Source organism: Homo sapiens, chromosome 2 (assembly GCF_000001405.40).
Source record: "Homo sapiens chromosome 2, GRCh38.p14 Primary Assembly".
NCBI lineage: Eukaryota > Metazoa > Chordata > Mammalia > Primates > Hominidae > Homo > Homo sapiens.
This window is the reverse complement of record NC_000002.12, coordinates 54,770,051-54,790,189: the sequence shown is the minus strand read 5'-3', so window position 1 is coordinate 54,790,189 and position 20,139 is coordinate 54,770,051. Positions and strand designations below refer to the sequence as shown.

The 20,139-nt window shown below is 40.0% G+C and overlaps 1 protein-coding gene across 9 annotated transcripts in view, besides 1 other annotated feature; it reads right to left on the bottom strand.

Moving 5' to 3' along the window:
• EML6 (EMAP like 6) overlaps window positions 1-20,139 on the bottom strand; it is a 248,474-nt gene that overhangs the window by 181,836 nt on the left and 46,499 nt on the right. The window lies entirely within an intron of this gene.
• Window positions 11,435-11,582: a silencer, noted in NCBI's record as "fragment chr2:55005745-55005892 (GRCh37/hg19 assembly coordinates)". NCBI's record gives its function as "represses an EF-1alpha promoter that drives an FKBP-Casp9 reporter gene in an ReSE screen in HepG2 liver carcinoma cells {active_cell/tissue: HepG2}" and the evidence as "EXISTENCE:reporter gene assay evidence [ECO:0000049][PMID:32094911]".

Below are 20,139 nucleotides of genomic sequence, written 5' to 3'. Positions count from 1 at the left end.
AAGTGCCCACTATTCAATCTCTCTTATAAAAATCACTAGTCATTACTAAGTTTTCAGATATATGAACTGAAATTATGCAATGTCATCGGAAGACATTCTTTGAACAAATATTTACTTAATGCTGACTATTCTTAGATCTCCCTCTTGTACAGGTTACCTGTGCATTTTTCATCATTTAAAAATACAACACATATACGCATTGCAAAAATAAGATGAATCCCCACCACACACACATACCATGAAGCTCATTCTCATTTGGGTCCAAGAGCCAGAGAAGTCAATCAGTATTTGTAGATATTCTGTGTCATAAAGCTCTCCCTGTACTTACTATTTAGGTAGAAGCAAGCCCTGGTAAGGAAAGCAGCATGTGTGCTGGAGTTAACTCTGGATTCAAATTCCTTCTATTCTACCTATTAGGACCATGTCTGAGCCTTAGTTTGCTCATCTGCAAGATGAGAATATTAACTCCCTTCTGGATATCATGAGGATATAATTAAATAAGGTAGAGTTTGTAAAGCATCCAATACAGTATCTGGCACATGACAGAAGAAGAGAAGAAAACCAATACAAGTACGGAAGACAACATCAGGTGGGCCAGTTACGTCCCACCCATGTCTACTTTGGAAAGCACATTCTTTTTCTTTTTTTTTTTTTTTTTTTTTTTTTTTTTTTTTTTGAGACGAAGTCTCGCTCTGTGGCCCAGGCGGGAGTGCAGTGGCGTAATCTCGGCTCACTGCAAGCTCCGCCTCCCGGGTTCACGCCATTCTCCTGCCTCAGCCTCCCGAGTAGCTGGGACTACAGGCGCCCGCCATCACGCCCGGCTAATTTTTTTGTATTTTTAGTAGAGACGGGGTTTCACCGTGTTAGCCAGGATGGTCTCGATCTCCTGACCTCGTGATCCGCCCGCCTTGGCCTCCCAAAGTGCTGGGATTACAAGCGTGAGCCACCGCGCCCGGCCGGAAAGCACATTCTTTCTAAAGGTCACCATAACACTTGCTAAAAATTAAATGTTTCATTGTTTTTGCTGTTTTTGTTTGTTTACGCAAGTATCTTCCAGAAGCTATTTATTGGAATAAAACCAAAGTGCTGAAGGAATTAAGCAGAGACAGAACACATGAAAGAGAAAGGATAACAGATGATGGATATAAGAAAGAATAAAAAGCAAAAAGATAGCAAACCTGCCTCATTTTATTAAGAAATGTAAGCAAGTGGCAAAGGGGGTGGGGCGGATGGAGAAGGGAATAGAAAGCCAATGTTACTAACCATTGGATTCAGCGTTAAGTCTATGGAACTCCAACCAGTCAGAAATGACTTTCCATTTTTCATCTAGCCAATGGAAATGAAACATGTATTTTAAACAATAAAGTCAATAAAAACTTCAGGAGAAATAATGTTTTGATTCCTAAAATATATGTTCTGAAGAGTTTGGCCCTATTTTTCAAAAAGCCAATTAGTGTTCACCACCGTTTCACACCAAAACAACAGGAATTTCCAATAAAATGACTGATAAGCCATTCTATTAGACAAGTTAATATAACCAGCCAAATAACCAGTTATTTTGGCGAAATCTTGTTTGATCATTTTGCTAAGCTTCAATTTTCCTCTAACTTGGTCTTGAGGTCTCTCTCTGGAGAGTAGCTATCGATTCTAGACCTGCTGGGGCGGGGGGCGGCCCCAGATGTTTATAGTGTTTCTCACAGAATACCTCTTTTCCCAGCTGGACGCCTAATCCTAAGCGTGGACACATGACCAGATGCCCCTCTCACAGAAAACTCGGTTATAGTGGCAGCCACCCTTGTAGATCTTCTCTCACCTGGGTCCAGCCCTGACCAGGAAGGGAGTTAGGTTCAAGTGAGACACAGGAGCCGGCACAACAAAACACATGAAATAACAGAAGCCGGTGTTACTTACAGATGCCAGAGAGAAGAGGGCAGCCCGCCTTGCAGGCCAACAGGAAGCGGGAGCCATCTGGAACCTATGTGCTCAACCAGTAAGTGGGCAGCTAGCGAGCGAGTGAGCGAGAACCTGGCGACCTAAGCCTTTATTAAGGTCCACGGGTGTTCTGCCGTAGGCTTTCCACAGGGCAGTGGTTGGCTAGTTTAAAGAAAACACGTGCGAAGGGAGGGGGTCTAATTTACCTGACTCTGATGTTGACCATCAGGTTTCATCATGGTCAACAGCTGTGGGGTGTGCTGGGTTTTTGGGTCTGCGAGATGAGGAACAGGCAGGCTACAGCAGAAACCACCGCACAGGTGAGGGAAGTTTCAACTAGGCCTCGGGGGACGGGGTGTGTACAACCGGGTTTCAAATAACTTAGGTCTGGCCTAAAAATTGATGCAGAAGGAGCAATGATATTAAACAAATTTATGACAATGGACACTTGAACAAATTCCACCTAAACACACAGGCTACCTTAAACATGTGAAACAAACCTCCTATAAAATCTGATTTGAGATCTTAAGGAAGTACCCCAGACTGAGACATCTCCAGACACGACTCCCAAGTTCCCCATGAGCAAAATGCTCCACTTTATTGCTAAAGATTGCTTCAGTTCCATAAGCATTTATTAATCATTCAGTGACATTAGCTACTATTTATCGATCAATTACTATGCGGTACTTTACACATTATCTCATTTAATGCTCAAGAACAATCCAATAGGATAAACAAACTTATCTCTCTTTACAGACAAACATACTGCGGCTCACGGAGGTTAAGGAACTTGCCCAGGCCACACAGCTGGTAAGTGGCAGAGCCAAGATTCAGACCTAGGTCTGTATGACTACAATTCAATCTTTTCATAACTCAATCTTCCTCTGGTTTACTTTTAAAATATAAATACTTGAAATTCTCATTAAAAACTGACATCTGGGTTCACACAAAGACCCCCCCCCAACCCTCACCCATCTCATTGACAAGGCTCAGACCATGGGAGCCTTGTCAGGTATTTCTATGAAACGATATTGATGGGAAAATGAGAGCATTTGGTCACTTCGAGAACTACCAACCCCTGAACCAGCCCCCTACCCGCTTTCTCTCCCACCAACGCACACTGCACAACTCCCCGAAGCCCTGCTGAACCTACTTAGGCAGTGCCTGCCTGGCCTGGAGACCTCAGTGGGCACACCTGAGGCACTCATCTTTCAAAAAGAACCTAAGTCTTCTCATGTTCTAACCTCTCCCTGCCCCACTCTTCCCAGATCCATAATCAGAGGCAGATTTCAACTGCACTGGGAGTCAAACAAAGAGTCAAGCCCGAGAGAAAAAGGCTTACACACCAAAAGAATGGCACTATTTTGCAAACTTACAAACTTGTATATGTTTAACAAGTTTCACTTGTCCAGTATATATTTGGGGAACCTGTGTGGGAATGAATTCCGAGGAAAGGGGAGAACATTACTTTAACCTGGGCTTTAGAGACCAGCTGTCTTAACAGAGCCTCTGGATTCAACATGGAAACTCGAGCATCTGGGAATTATTCTAATTGTTTGCTCCATTTCTTTGTTGAAATCTGGACTCAATGGAGTCCTATAATATTTGCCAGAAACTCAGTATAATGGAGAGGAATGTGTGTTGTGGGTTCTACCTTGTGTAAACTGTCCACCTCCCTATACCGCTATGTCCCCTGAAAGGGTACAGGAGATTCTTCCTTCACCACAACCCACTGGTGGGGTAGGTAGCGGGTGCGGTAGCAGCACTTGAGCAGGGGAGGGGACCCCACTGTGGCTGAGCACTGTTCTCCGTTGTGTGGTCTTTGGCTCTCCTAGAGATCCTGTGAATGTCCCAATACCCTTCAATAAGTGACTTTCTGCTTATGTAAATACCTAGATTGTTTGCTGTCAAGAATTGTAACACCTCAGTCCAGGGTACTTTCTGCTACCCTAAGGTGTTTAAGATAAGAGTAGCAAAAAAGGGCTGGGACTAGAGACCTAGGGAATGACCCTCCTTGAAGACAGGGCAGAGAGAAAACTTCCAGGGAAAAGAGACACTCAGGGAATAAGCATAGGAGCCACAGGGCCCAGCCATCTCCTCCTCTACTGCCCCGGTGGGACTTCTCAAATTGATTACACCAGAAAAAACAGAAGGCTCCCTACAATGGGTGCTCTCAGCTAGCTCCTTTACCCCAACACCCTGGGTGGCCGCTCCACCTCTAGCTCCTTTACCCCAACACCCTGGGTAGCCACTCCACTTCCTCCTGGCCATAACCATGCCCTAAATTGCACACACACACACATACAAATATATATATATATATTTATATATACAGTTGATCCTTAGACGACACAAGCTTGAAATGTGCTGGTTCACTTATACTCAAATTTTCCCAGTAAATACACTAAAACATTTTTTTGGAGATTTGTGACAATTTGAAAAAACTCAAAAATGAACCGTGTAGCCTAGAAATACTGAAAAAAATTAAGAAAGAGATATGTCATGAATGCAAAAAGTATATGTAAACACTGGTCTATTTTATCATTTGCTACCATAAAATTTATACAAATGTATAATAAAACATTAAAACTTATGAAAACTTACACACAGACAGTACATGGAATCATTCACAGTCGAGATAAATGTAAACACATATAAAGATGCAGTATTAAATCATAACTGCATAAAATTAACTATAGTGCACACTGTACCTCTGTAGTACTTTGCTATTGTGGTGAACTTAAGTGTTGTGAGTATCCCTTAAAAGGCCATGGGGGCCAGGCACAGTGGCTCACACCTTTGGGTGGCTGAGGCAGTAACTCTGGGAGGCCGAGGTGGGAGGATCACTTGAGGTCCGGAGTTCAAGACCAGCCTGGCAACATGGTGAAACCCCGTCTCTACTAAAAATACAAAAATAAGCCAGGCGTGGTGGCTCACACCTGTAATCCCAGCTGCTCGAGAGGCTGAGGCACGAGAATCACTTGAACCTGGGTGGCAGACGTTGTGGTGAGCCGAGATTGCGCCACTGCACTCCAGTCTGGGCAACATAGTGAGACTCCGTCTTAAAAAAAAAAAAAAAAAAAAAAAGTGTGTGTGTGGGGGGGTGGAAATCTCTTGAAGTTCTCTCGTATTTTTCATCATGTTTAGTGCAATACTATAAACCTGAAATAACACTGTGGGACCCCCTGTGAAGTGCCACTAGTGATCTAGGCTGGAGGTGTTCCCAAAGAAGCACAGAAAAGTCATCATATTACAAGAAAATGGTGAATTGCTTGAGATTTGCCATAGACTGAGGTCTGCAGCTGCAGTTGCCTGCTATGTCAGACAGACAATTCATCCTGTAAACAGATGATGTACTCTTATGGTATTGACAAATACAATACAGTACTGTAAGGGTATTTTTCTCTTCCTTATGATTTTCTTAACAATTTGTTTTCTCTAGCTTCCTTTAAGAATAGCATGTGGGGCTTAATACCTCGATGATGGGTTGATAGGTGCACACATTTACCTATGTAACAAACCTGCACATGTATCCTGGAACTTAAAATAAATTTAAAAAAAAAGAATACAGTATATAATACATATAACATAGAAAATATGTGTTAATGGACTGTTTCTGTTATTGGTAAGGCTTCTTGTCAACAGCATGCTATTAGTAGTTAAGTTTTGGGGAGTCAGAAAGTTCTACTTGGATTTTCACCGCAAGGGGGTGGGGGTAGCATCCCTAAGTCCCATTTTATTTGAGGGTCAGATGTGTAACACCCAATATTGGCAAAGCAGGCTATACAAATTCATTATTAGTGGTACGGTAAAGTCTTATAACACTTTTGAAAATACATATGGTAACAAGTTGCAAAAGGTTTATTAGTATTTATACTCTTACCTGGTAATTCTACTCATAAATATTTATTCTAATATAGCAAAAAAGTGATAGGCACAATATAGTTAGTTGCTTGCTAATTGATTTAAAAATTTACAACTTCATAAAGATCTAACATTAAAGAACAGTTCAGGCCAGGTGCAGTGGCTCATGCCTATAATCCCAACACTTTGGGAGGCTGAGGTAGGAGGACCATTTGAGCCCAAGAGTTTGAGACCAGCCTGGGCAACATAGCAAGATCCCCATCTCTACAAAAAAAATAAATAATTAGGCATGAGTAGCACATGCCTGTAGTCCTAGCTACTTAGGAAGCTAAGGCAGGATATTCACTTGAGCCCTGGATTTCGAGGCTACCATGAACTATGATCACGACTGTACTCCAGCCTGGGCAATACCACAAGACCTTATCTCAAAAAAAAATTGAAACAGTTCAATAAATTATGGAACATGAACATAATAATACACTAATGTGCAGATATTTAAAATCTTGCAATGTGGATTTACCTATATTAACATGAGAGAAAATAGAATACAAAATAGCATGTACAGTCTCATTACAAGTATATCAATGATACATATTTATAGTATTATACAAAAAGAAAATACTGTAGTCAATTTTTAGGGTGGTGAAAGTAAGAATTATTTTAATCTCATTTTTAAAAATCTTGTCTTCTCAAAATCTTTTTAAAAAATCAAGCCTCAAAAACATTTCAGTGAATATAATCATCACAGTCGTTTCAAACTAGCCGCAATTCAGCATAAACTACAGCTAATTACACGGACAATTCTTTCCTTGCCACACCAGATATCCACATTTGACTAAATTTTTTAAATTAGATTGAGAAAAGGTATATGTCTCTATTTCACTTCCTTAAATCTAAAATCAACTACAGCTTTGTTCCAGATATGAAAAGAACTTTTAAAGGCTGTGTACAAACTGACCTAATGGTATTACAGAAAACAATTTGTGATGTTCTGAATGTTATTTGAAACACTAGCTAAAGGGAAAATTTTAAAGCATAAATTAAAAATCTAGACTTAAGCTTGATTTTTACTTGCAATATAACAGAGTGTTTCATTACATAGTTATATCCAGAACAATAAAAAAGAAATATGCATATACATCAATTGCCATGGAATATGAATAATTTCTTATTTTATGAGATAAGACATGAGGTCAGTAAATGACATTTCCCAGGCATTGTAATAAAGCATTTTCTATGTAGGATGTAATACAGTATGATGTAACTTTTATTAGTTATTATTTACTGATCGACTATAATATATGCACGCATACATACCTATATTAACTTCCCTACCACGTAGAATATTCCACAAGGACAGAGCTAATTGGGCAATGACAGCAATAAAAACAGCTATGATTTACTGGGCTCTTGCTATATATTAGACAGGAAGCTAAACCCTTTACACAGATTATTTAATCATCCCAGCAGCCCTAAATTAGGTGCTAACCTTTTCTTCTCTTTACGAATGAGACGCCTGGTTTTCACCATAGGTTACACGGTAGGCAAGTGGTGGCACAGGTCTGAACCCAGCATTCTCACTAGTGGAGGTTATGGCCTTTAATCAATGAGTAAGAGGGTAAAACAAAATGGAGGTGGGTGGGGATGAACAATGAATGAGGGTAGGAATACTAAAGCATCTTAGAGAAGAAGACAAGAAGACAGAATTTAGCCAAAAAAAAAAAAAATACAAGTAGGTCTAATAGAGATACTTATAACCCTTTATGATTTGATTAGACACATTCATGATACTCGTTACAAAAAACTGAGAAGTCATACAAGAACAAAGTAACAGATAATCAGTGTTTATGTCTTAGTTGGTTTACAGAAGGAACAGAAGAAAGAACAAGATCTAAGAAGTAAAAGCAAGGCCTGAATTTGATTCAGGAAAATAAAATAGCCCCAATTTAGGAAAATCATGTCTTTTTCAATTTCCCTAGGAAATCTCTCTAATATTTCAAAATGTCAATTACTCTAAAATCTCATTTTTATCATGCTTCCCAATATAAAAATTTGACTTTAAAAACCCAAAATAATATTTCATGAAACATAAAATGACACTTTGTAAATATTTTTAAAGGTTTTGTTTACTATTAGGGAAATATCAGGGAAAAGAACTAATCAACAAAGAAGATTAACAATGAAGTAAAATTTAACATACGTACAGAAAAGATACTTTTGAAGTGATAGGGAAATTCAAAATAAAACTTAGTTAGAACATAGACTTATTTTAAATGTTTTATTACTTTGTGCCTAGTTTCAATACAATACAGAATGCAATTTGGTTGGCATAAAATAGAGAAAACTTTTTGTTACATGCACTGTAATTAAAAGTAGAAAAGGTAACTCAATATTAACAATTTGAAATTTAAAAGATATATTTGTAGTCCAGGAGTGGTGGCTCACACCTGTGATCCCAGCACTTTGGGAGGCCAAGGTGGGCAGATCACTTGAGTCCAGGAGTTCAAGACCAGCCCAGCTAACATGGCTAAACTCCATCTCTAAAAAAATAAAAAAATTAGTGGGACGTGGCAGCATGTGCCTGTGGTCCCAACTACTCGAGAGGCTGAAGTGGGAGGATCACTTGAGCCCAGAGAGGTCAAGCCTGCATGAGGTGTGATCGCACCACTGCACTCCAGCCTGGGTGACAGAATGAGACCCTGTCTCAAAATAGAATAAAATATACATATATATATTTATTTATACTTGTAAATTCATGCTAGTATTTCACTATAACACTTGTATGTTTTTTAGTATTAGATATGAGCTTTAAAACATATTTAGCAATCTCTAACTTCAATGATTTGTCAGTACTGTCTAGATACAATTAGATTTCAAAATTTTCACTCAGGTGAAGTAGAGGGTGACTGCCATAATTTGGGCAAGTGTCATAATTTAGTTTAAGCATGCTGGTAATATTTTAATTCCTATGTGGACCAATTATCTGAGAATGACACTATTTCCCATTCCACAGCCATCAGCTGCATCTTCTTACCTGAATCACTTTTTTCAAAATCCATGCGATTTATTGGCCACAGAAGGGTCTCGACAAGAATGTAAATGGATGACTGGCTCCTTGCAAATCTATCACCACTGCCAGAAAAGTCTCTCAACACTTATGCCAGCCTGCCACTCACTAGCTGTGTGTCCCTGGGCAAGATACTGACCATTTCTATGCCTCGCATGTAAAAAGGGGATAATAATAGATATGTATATATAGTTGGGTCATTGGGATCATTCCATGTTTAAGTGCTCAGAGCAATGCAGGCAGGTAGTAAGTACTTAATAAAGGTAAATTGTTATTTTTACTATTCAGTAGTATATCCTCTTATACAGAAAACCATATAGTATTACCTTTCACGTTTTTACATACAAATAAAGGATGCCAGAGCTAATAATTCCTTTCTTAACCGCCCAAAGAATTATAAATAAGCATGGGATTTGAACCTTCATAATAAGTAGCATGTCAAATGCTTAGAGGCAAGAATGAACCATCTATTATACTCATGCAACAATTCCACAGTCACATAATTCAAATCATTATTCGTGTGACTCACAAGCCATAATGTAGTTTATTCTTCAGCATTATCCTTTTACTATGTTTCTATGAAAATATCTCATTCCGTTATCATTCCATATTTATAGCCAGATTGCAAATATTCCATCAAAAACTGTGTAGTACATTTGAGGTAGTTCCCTAAGGAATCAAAATTATTATTATCTTAGACAATTAACATAATAACGGTGTATTTCTTTTTTAACCTTGAATTCTCCTCCAGATCTCCAATATTATAGACACAGTTCCCTTAATTGCTGGGGAGAATGAATAGAGAATATAGGAAGAACTAAGAGCCTTATTATCCACTCACTCCAGTACAGCCCTCTCTAGAAAGCAAGCATGTGCAAAGAAGATCTCTGTATCAGGTCAAATATTTCTGGGACAGTCAACTATCTATCTATGCAAGTCTAAAGCTACAAACGTCATTTTTGCCAATGCATTCTAAAAGCTAAGGTATATTAAATCACTCTGATTTTTGAACAATCTAGTCTAGTAAATTGTTTAGCCTTACAGACTGAAAGTCATTTTTATCATATCTAACTAATTATTCATTTCTAATTACATTTCAATAGATATTATACTAATGGGTAAAAAGGCATTTCATTGTGTTATTATTTGTAATAGTAAAAAACTGTAAACGATTATTAATAAATGCCTCTCAGTTGGCTAAATGCATGTGTTAGCTTCTACACAGATAAATGTTTGAAGAATATACAACCGTGAATAGTAGGGACCTTTGGAAAGCCGAATTAGGAGGTGGGAGTGGGAGTCCCACCTCCTAACTCTGTATTATTGTACATTTCCGTATCATTTGAAGGTTTTACAATCATCTTGTTCCACTTTTTAAATTTTTGTAAAGATATTTTTTCCCTCTCTCCCTCTCTCCCCTCCCTCCTGCCTTCCTTACTATATTCTTTTTTTTTTTTTTTTCTTTTTTTTTGAGACTGGGTCTGTCACCCAGGCTGCAGTGCACTGGCAGGATCTTGGCTCACTGCAACCTTCACCTCCTAGGCTCAAGCCATCCTCCCACTTCAGCCTTCCAAGTAGCTGTGACTATAGGCACACACCACCATACCCCGCTAATTTTTGTATTTTTGGTAAAGATGGTGTTTTGCCATGTTGTCCAGGCCTGTCTTGAACACCTGAGCTCAAGCGATCGACCTGCCTCAGCCTCCCAAAGTGCTGGGATTACAGGTGTAAGCTACCACACCAGGCCCTCCTTCCTATATTCTTTTTTTTTTTTTTTTTTGAGACAGAGTCTCACTTTTGTCGCCCAGGCTGGAGTGCAATGGTGCTATCTTGGCTCACTGCAACCTCCACCTCCCGAGTTCAAGCGATTCTCCTGCCTCAGCCTCCAGAGTAGCTGAGATTACAGGCACCCGCTACCACACCCAGCTAATTTTTTTGTATTTTTTTTTTAGTAGAGACAGGGTTTCACCATGATGGCCAGGCTGGTCTTGAACTCCTGACCTCAGGTGATCTGCCCACCTTGGCCTCCCAAAGTGCTGGGATTATAGGCGTGAGCCACTGCACCCAGCCCCTCCTTCCTATATTCTAAAAGAACAAGCTAGTGCCATGTCAGATAGGGTGGCAAGCAACTGAGATGTCAAAACTTTTGTATTATCTTCCCTAGTTCTACCACTGACAAGTTCATGAGACTGTCACCAAAATGGCTTTTTCTTCCTGTTGGTTCTTTCATTCAAAATACCATCTTGGATTTCATTAATACTCTACAGTTAAAGAAATCAAATTCTGAAGCTCTGTCATTTCTCAGGTGAAAGTGTAAAGTGTTAGTTCATTCTTACTATCATAATTGTAAAGAGTGTAAGGAAAGTTATTTTATATATTTGATATATTTATTAATTTAACAATTCACTTCTTTTCTTTCTTTCTTTTTTTTTTTTGAGATGGAGTCTTGCTCTGTCACCCAGGCTGGAATGCAGTGGCACAATCTCGGCTCACTGCAACCTCCACCGCCCAGGTTCATGCCATTCTCCTGCCTCAGCCTCCCGAGTAGCTGGGATTACAGGCACCCGCCACCACACGCAGCTAATTTTTTTTGTATTTTTTTAGTAGAGATGGGGTTTCACCGTGATAGCCAGGATGGTCTCGATCTCCTGACCTTGTGACCTGCCCGTCTCGGCCTCCCAAAGTGCTGGGATTACAGGTGTGAGCTACTGCGCCCGGCCTAACAATGCACTTCTAATTATATTTTAGTTTTTTCTCTTCCACAATAAAAAGAAATACATGGGACCCAAAACTTAGTGCATGGTGTCAGCATCTCGCACAGAGTGATAAAATGGCCATGATGGTAATCCTCATTTGGAAACGTAGCTGACTTTTGAGGGTCAGAATTATAGTTCAGCCCCAGTTTGGGAGGGGGGTACAACTTTCTCCTCATCCCAGACAGAAAACTCTTTTTTCTCTCTCCTCTCCCCCTTCTCTCTTCCTCCTTCTCTTTCTATATTTAGCACAAACTTCAGAGCCTTCTTTAGGAATAAATTTCGACATTTAATAAGCTTTAATGAAATCTTATACAAATCCTTCACTTGCCATCTTAAACTGATTTTATCTCACTTTCTTTTGAGAATTAATTCTGGATTTGCACATTCTGACATAATCCCAAATAAGCTAAACATTTAGAGATTCACAGATACATATAAATGGAAAAAAACTCTTACCCTGACATGTCTAAATGACCCCAAACAGTTGAAGAAAAAACAGAAAGTCAAGACATTATTTCCACTCTTTGAAAGTTTAGGTGATGAATGCCTAGATTATCTTTTATAGAGCTGAACATTTTTTCTTTATCTTTTGTTTCTCTACAAGCTTAGATTTTAAAATAGAACCAGTGGTATTTTTTCATATGTAAATATTCCCCAAAAATTTTATTAAATTCATTCAGAAGTCTATTTTGATGTCAGAAGAAATTTGCTATAAATAAATCATATTCTCAAATAACCCACATCTTGGATTTTAAGATAGTTTCTTTACCAAAGAAAACATGGGTACTTTCGAGCAAGCACCCATTAATGTAACACTCCATGTACCCAGCCATGGAAAGGGCTCCTCCTGCTCCTGAAATCACTAAGCTGAGGGCAGATTGGTCACTCTGGGGTGAGAAAAAGATTCCAGTGCCCAACAGAACTCATGACTCCCATCTCTCCCACATGGCCAATGACAAAATACAGGAGTTAAATGAGGACCATAAGGACACACCAAGATAGTAATTACATTTCCCCTTTCCAAAGCAAGATCATACCAGTGTCTTGTTTTGTTAAAAATTAAGTACTGAGAAATGGTGCTAATAGTGGACCAAAAGTTTTGAGGTCTATGTGGAAGACAGAAAGCGAAGGACTCAGATTTACATGGAACCCAAAGCAAAAAGCCTGCAATAAAAAGTGAGCATAAAAGTCCAAGCTCAGAGTCAAGAAGCCATCAGGACGCTCAACTAAATGATATCCTGCAGAGCAGCTGGACTACTTATAGGCTCCTCTCCATCACTCCACCATCACAACTCCTCCACCCCCACCCTAAATAATTTGCTGGCAGTGAGAAGGCATTTGGCTCCATGCTAAAACCTTAAGATTTGCACCAAAGGAAGTATTCATTTTCAGGGCTAGCAGACTTCCTTCTGTGAGTATTGAGGTCAAATATCAGTAGGTTAGAGTCTTTGGGGACTCCAGGCCTCACAGGGCGATGTGGACAGCAAAGCTGCAGCTGGCAATAAAGCTGTCCTTACTCTGGCAATTGTGGTAGAATAAAAAGAGACCCTAATGAAACGGAATAAAATAACAACAAAGTAGACTCAATGAACAAAATCAAAGGTGTTTTTTTTAAACCAAAGAATCTCTTAAATTTATTAGGATAAATACTTAGAGAAAACAAGACATAAGTCACATAGATGCATTAAGCCATAAACTATCCCAATGAAGTCAGTCCCTCACCAGGGTCCCAGTATACAAATGTTCATATAAAGCAAGGTATCAGTATTAGCTTTCAAACTGAATATATGTTGTAAAATATCCAAGGTTGAGTTAGAAACAGGACGTGGGGGTGGGGTGGCACAGGAGGGGAGGGAGGAGACATTCTTTTTTCTAGTAGATTCAGGGAATACATGTGCATGTTCATTTCCTGCATGTATTGCATAATGCTGGAGTTGGGGCTTCTAATGATCCCCTCATCAAAGGGATCATAAATGAAACAACAATACAGTAGAAAAAAATTTGCCAAGCTTGATTAAAACCAGTGAAAGAAAACACAAATAAGCAATATTAGAAAATATACGTGTAAGATTTTATGAGCCTACTACCTATATTCAAAAATATAGATAAAAGCTTTCCCAGAAAATAAAAGTATAAAAACTGACTCAAGAAAAGGGAACTAATTAAATGGGGCAATAATCGCAAAATGTATAAAGACAAATTTCTACCCAACACGAAGGTACCGAGCCCAGGCAGTTTTACAGGCAAGTTCTGTAAAACCTAGATTAACAGAGTTCTTGACAAGGGAGAGAATATAGTCATGGGTTCTTAGTCTCTGTTTCTGGTTGGGCCAATAAAGCCCCTTTCTCCTCCTCCTTTTCCACTTATCACTAGAGTCAGAAACTAAAAAACATGGCTTTGGGCTGCTAAAAGCCTAAGGCAAAACAAAACACAACAACAACAACAACAAAATAAGGCAGGTTGAACCCCTGTGAGGCTGGTATAACCAGGATAAGGCTTATGGTTATCAAAACTAGATAAAGACATCATAAAGCTACAGAAAACCATTCTTACTTGCCAATATTAAATAGAATACATAATGGCAAACCAAATCTTAAGAATAGTATATTATTATAAAATAATTGTGTATCATGACCAAGTAAGGTTGTCACAGGAATGCAAGGATGGCTCAATATTAGAAACCCTATGGGTATTTACAACAATAATATATTTAAAGAGAAAATTCTATAATTTTTATTGCATCTTCTGTTAGAATGGGTTTTAGTTGTAGACTATATATTCCCATTCCACAAGGGCAGGGTACTACTGTACTTCCAGAATCCAGCACACTCACTCCTCCACTTGCAAAAATTTGTGGAGTGCATGCTTGAAGCCAGGCACTCTCCTGGGGATATAGCAATAAGCAAAAACAAAGGCCCTGCTCTCTTAGATCCTGTAGTCTGGTCATACAATGAACAATAAACATTAAATACACAGTTTTAGGTTGTAATAAGTGCTATGAATAAAATAAAATAGGGTGAGAGAGATAAAGGGTGACAAGAGGTGCAATTTTATATAAAGAGGTCAGGAAAGGCCTCCAATGAGGTTAGGAGGAGCACAGAAATCTGCACAAAATGAGGGAGTAAGCCAAGGCCAAATCGAGGGGAGGAGCGTTTCAGGCACGGGAAAGAACAAGTCCAAAAGTCCTGAGTCAGACACTTGCTTGGTTTATCTGAGAAATAGCAAAGAAGCCAGTGTGGCTAGAGCAAAATGGCTGGGACAGAAATGGGGTCAGAGAAGTGGCTAGGGGCCAGTGCCTGCAGGGCCTAGCGAGGAATGGCAAGGACTCCGCATTTCACTGTCAATACACTGGGCAGCAAGGGTTGAGAGTAAAAGGAATTGGTAAGATTGATTTAAAAATTTTAAAGGCTTATTTTGGCTACCATAATGAATAGACTATACCTGGAGCAAAAAGTGGGAACTGGCACACCAGTTAGACTACTATAGAGGCACAGGTGAGAAATGCTGGCTCACACTGGGTAGGAAGGTCCCCCCACTGCATGTCTGCTCACTAAGTATTTGCTTTTTCATTTTTTGATCATATTTTCAGGAAATTTCTATGTGACACATTTGTTAACAAAAGTAATGAATGTCAACAATACAGAATTTTACATGTTGTAAGCACTTTCTGTATTTCCACTTGGGTGAAAAACAAAGGCAAAAGCAATGTCAACACTATCTTTTCTAATGCAAGTCATTAGGAGAAGCATTGACTAAAGACCAATCCACACAGAGTAGAAGATAAAGATTTTGCAATACACTATTTTCTAAATTTGATCATTAGACTAGGGATGCCAACTCTTTTAGTCCCACAAGATCCTCGGGGAGAAAAACATCTTGTAAAAATAACTTTGGGAAATGCTAATACCACATCTAAGATAGATTGGATGCTTACCATAAGCCAGGTCCTCTTGCAAAAGGACCTCTATGTTTTATTTTATTTGATCCTTACAACCACCCTATGATGTAGTGTAGCAGAGATGCTAGCTCTTCCATTCTCCCCGTGATGTAGGCTAAAAACCATCCAGAACCCCCTTCCATGAAGGATATGTTGCTGGTAGTGCTGTTGGCCAGAAGGCCTCTGTCTGTCAGGCTCTTCAGGGATCACCTCAACTTCCAACGGCTCCCTCACCCACAGTCACCCTTCTTCCCATAATGGCCTGTACCTAATGACTGATCAATGTAGGAACATAAAGGCCTGACCATCCTGTGGAGCCTGCATAGTATCCTGACTTCTCTCTCTGCCCTCCCTTCCATCACTACTGATCCAATAAACATTTTGCAAGCTGAACTTCGTCTCAGAGCTGCTTCCTAGGAAACTCAACCTATGATAATCACTCCTCTTCTTTTACAGAAATAAATGCCAAGAATAAAGACATTTCCTAGCTTCCCTTGGAGTCTGCTGGGTGTGGCCATTCAACCATGCTCTGGCCCCTGGGATGAAAATGGAAGTCATGTGTGCAACTTCCAGGAAGTGTTCTTAGCAGTGCCCCTCTTTCTCCTCCTGCTGGCTGGAATGCAGACATGAAGGCTGGAGTGGGAGCAGCCACTTCTTGAGGACAGCAAAGGAACAAGAAAAAAGGAGGCCCTGTGCCAGTCATCAAATCGAATTGATGGTATGTAGCAGAAACAGATTTGAATCTAGATCTGACTCCAAAGCTTATGCTCTCATGCCACACTAAGATGCCTCTGGGAGAAAATTCTGTGATACTTTTCCTTAGGAGAAGCGCTAATTTCATAATTCCTGAGCACAGAAGAAACAGATATGGATGTTCAAATAAAGTGTGCAAACTTAAAGTTAGCTGCAAGAAAGAAGTTCCCAGTTGTAAATACAGTAGATGAAAGAAGAGAGACAGAAATGTGGCTCCTTCCATGGACATCTGAGAGCTTAGACAATGTAAATTGGAAATAATTGCCTAGTGATGTTTTGCCTAGAGACATAGATGTCAGAAACCAATACTTCATACATCTCCTTTAGTCTTGAAATTCCCCTCCAAAGATGAATAATGTCTCTTCCTTTCTTGAATGATGAGGGGTGGAAGAAAGCTCAGCCTTCCAGGCATGATCTGCCACTGGCCCAGGAGGGGAAGACTGGGCTCAGTTACGGATCTGAGATAAGCAATTTGACAGTCTGGCTTGGAACACTGACAGAAAAGAGGTGGGCACATAGAAGTGCTCAGGGAACGCAGTTCTGAAACTTGTCCTAGTGTCTTGCTGCCCCGGCTTTGGGCTACATGCTCAGCCTCACTGCTCAGTGGAGCCTTCTAGTCTTCAAGGACTGAGGTCACTTAGTGTAGCTCTGGTTACTTCCAAGAGAAAATATCTCTCATATAGCCAGCAGCCTTAACCATTAGTACCTTAGGGGAGAGCCACAGCCTCTAGCTGGACAGTTAGCTCACCCAGCCGCCCACAGGCTGGCACTCCTGAGGCAGCTCATCTGGGGCCACTGAGAGGCTTACCACTCTCTTTAGCAACTGGGACTCATCCTCCAAGATCCAGTCACTTTCGGACATGAGGACAGAAGGAAAGGTCAGTGTTGCCCTACCCTGGGCCTAACCAACACCTAAGCTCTCAGACCATCAAGTCAACAAAATACTGAGAAGTATTTGGTTCCAAGACTTCCCCAAATGTAGCATCTGGTTAAATTAATCCAGAATTGTACACGTGGACTCTGACAATGTCATCACCCTCGTCGACCAGCAGTCACAGCTGTTAACAGTCCTGTGTGAGAAAGGCAGTGTTCTGTGGGAGAAACACATGGTCTCTGCAGAGGAACAGACCTGGGTGTGAAGCCCAGCTCTGCCACTTACCAGCTGTGTAACCATGCACAAGTCTCCTGACCTCTCCCATCTACTGTTGACAATGTTAACTACACCGCAGAGCTGCTGTTATGTGTAGAATAAGGGAATGTACATACACACACAGCACATGGTAGGCATTCAGTAAATTTTTGCCACTCTTACAAACAAAAAGGTAGCCTCAGTTTAGGGGAAATTGTATCTTGGAATGAAATTATCAAATCTCCTTAAAGGCAAACCATATAGTAAAAATCGAATTAATTCCATAGTATTTAACTTGACATGAAATGTTTTATAATTTTCACCGTTCCATATGACTATTTTCTTCCTGGTGAAATCCTTCAAAGTCCACACCTCTCATTACTCATTTCCTTCTTATCCAAACCAACTGGATAGAATTAGTCACCTCTGTTCATATTTCCATAGCACTTCTCTCACACCACTAACCAAGTCACTTCAAGCTTCGTTTTATATGTAACACTTTCTCCTATTAGATTGGAAGCTCTTTCATCACAAGAATCATGAACTACCTTCCTTATCCAAACTGCCTAGCACAATGTCTGGCACAAAGCAGGAATTTCATAAATAGTTGGTAAAATTGCAACAATTTAATAAATGCTGTGGCTTCCACGGGATTCATGAAAACTGCTCTCAGTTCCATAATCCTGAAGGCAGCTGTGTTCCTGCAGCATAAAGCATTTCAGAGACTATTTAGTGCCAGTACATTTCACTGGAGAAAATATCATTTTAATGAGAGACTGTCAGTTTAGTTTGTATAGCCTACAGGGTCCTAGTTAACACTGAGTAGGAGAGATCCCATTTTTTATTACAAATCTGAAATTAATTCAATTTTCAGCTTTGCTTGCCTAGTCAATTTAATTCTAATCTTCTTCTTGAAGAGGTAACACAAATGAAACTATCAGAGTAGAAAAATAGGCTGCAGTTTTGCTGCCCAGTGTATAATCATTTTATGCCTCAAAGAAACTGTATGGACACTACCTCAGTTAACAGATTATCGGACAACTGTGAGGAACAGCTGCAACCCCAACTGTGTATGTGTCTGCGTGTGTTCACACATATATACACATACATTCACACACATATGTGATAGCTACCATTTTATAGAAGGAATTTTGTAGCAGACGTTCTGAAAATGGCGTTAGCAGCATTCGTTTTCAAAGAAGACATCCCACATCCAGAGTTTCCTGCATCTGTCTTCATTTATGCAATTAGCAATAGAAATATGGTGATAAACAGCTGATGAAGACCAGTTGAGGCAGAAAAGCTGCATAATTTAAAGATTGGCTTTTGAATAACTGCTGACACGGTGTAAGATACCTATGATAATGTATCCGCTCTTGTATGAGTAAGGAATGGTTGCCTGTGGCGTTACGGGACATGTGGTGACTCACAGGATGACAGAGAATGAGCGTGATGAGAAAGAAAGAATTGGAACAGAATACCAAGGGACACTTCATCTAGCCAGTCCAGGTTAAAGGCTTTAGGGATGATCTGGTGAGAAGGTAGAGAGCCTAAACTGTAATTATAACTCCAAAAATGTGTAGCACGCCATTAACTGCTCAGTAAATTACATAGGCTGGATGACAGAACTCATCAGGCCTGATCCTGCCACTGAGCTCAAGACTCATGCATCTAACTGCCCACTTGACATTGTCATCCAGGCCTGTAACAGACATCTTAAACCCAAAACAGAGCCTTTGACCTTCCACTTCCCCACCCCACATTAAACCTGCTCCTCTCTGTGTTTCCATTTCAGTACATGGTACAACCATTCACCAACATGAAGATGATTACTACATCCACAAAAGTGTGACTGTGGGTAGGAAAGGGCCCTGGGGCAATTCAACACAGAGGACAAGCAGAGAAGCATTCAGCAGAGGATACTAAGAAGGCAGCACTGGAAAGTGGGGAGAAGCTGGAAAAGCGTGCAGTCACAGGAATAAGGGGAAGAACATATTCTGAGAAGGAAGGAACGATCAACTGTATCAACTAACGACAGAGATGTGATTACCCCTAGATTTGTGAACATGGAGGTCATAAATGGCATAAACAAAAGCTGATTTTGTGGAATGGTGGCAAGAGAAGCCCAGCTGGAGGCAACTGAGAAGAGACTAGGAAGTGAGAAGTGGAAAGAACAGACACTAGATGATTATGGAATTAAGAAACTTAGTCTGATGTTGGGTGCTAACAAGTCTCCCTAAGAAATACTGTGGTTTCTCTATTACAGAAGCCAAAGGGCAAGAGGCGATCAACCATCAGTTCATTTAAGGTCAATGACCAAATGCAGTAGAGTTCACAGCTATATCATCCCACAGGAATGAGGAACCATGGAACAGAACTGGAAAGCAAGTGGTCCCAAGTGTGCTGGTGTCAACTTTTAGAGTGACCAAATGTCCAACGGTCCCAGCTTACACCTGTTGTCCCAGTGTAATTATTAAGGACTCTCAAAATGTCCCAGTTTGGATGATAAATTATATCCTTATACTATTTATAGTTCACCATCTCCTTATCCAACACTGAACAAGCTCTACATGACTTAGGTTAAGCAAGATCACTATTTAAGTTAGAAAACTGCCCAAGACTGGCCCATGGCAAGAAGCTCAGGACAAATATTTGAGTATACTGATAGACTATCAATTTTACTGAAAAATATTAAAGGGCT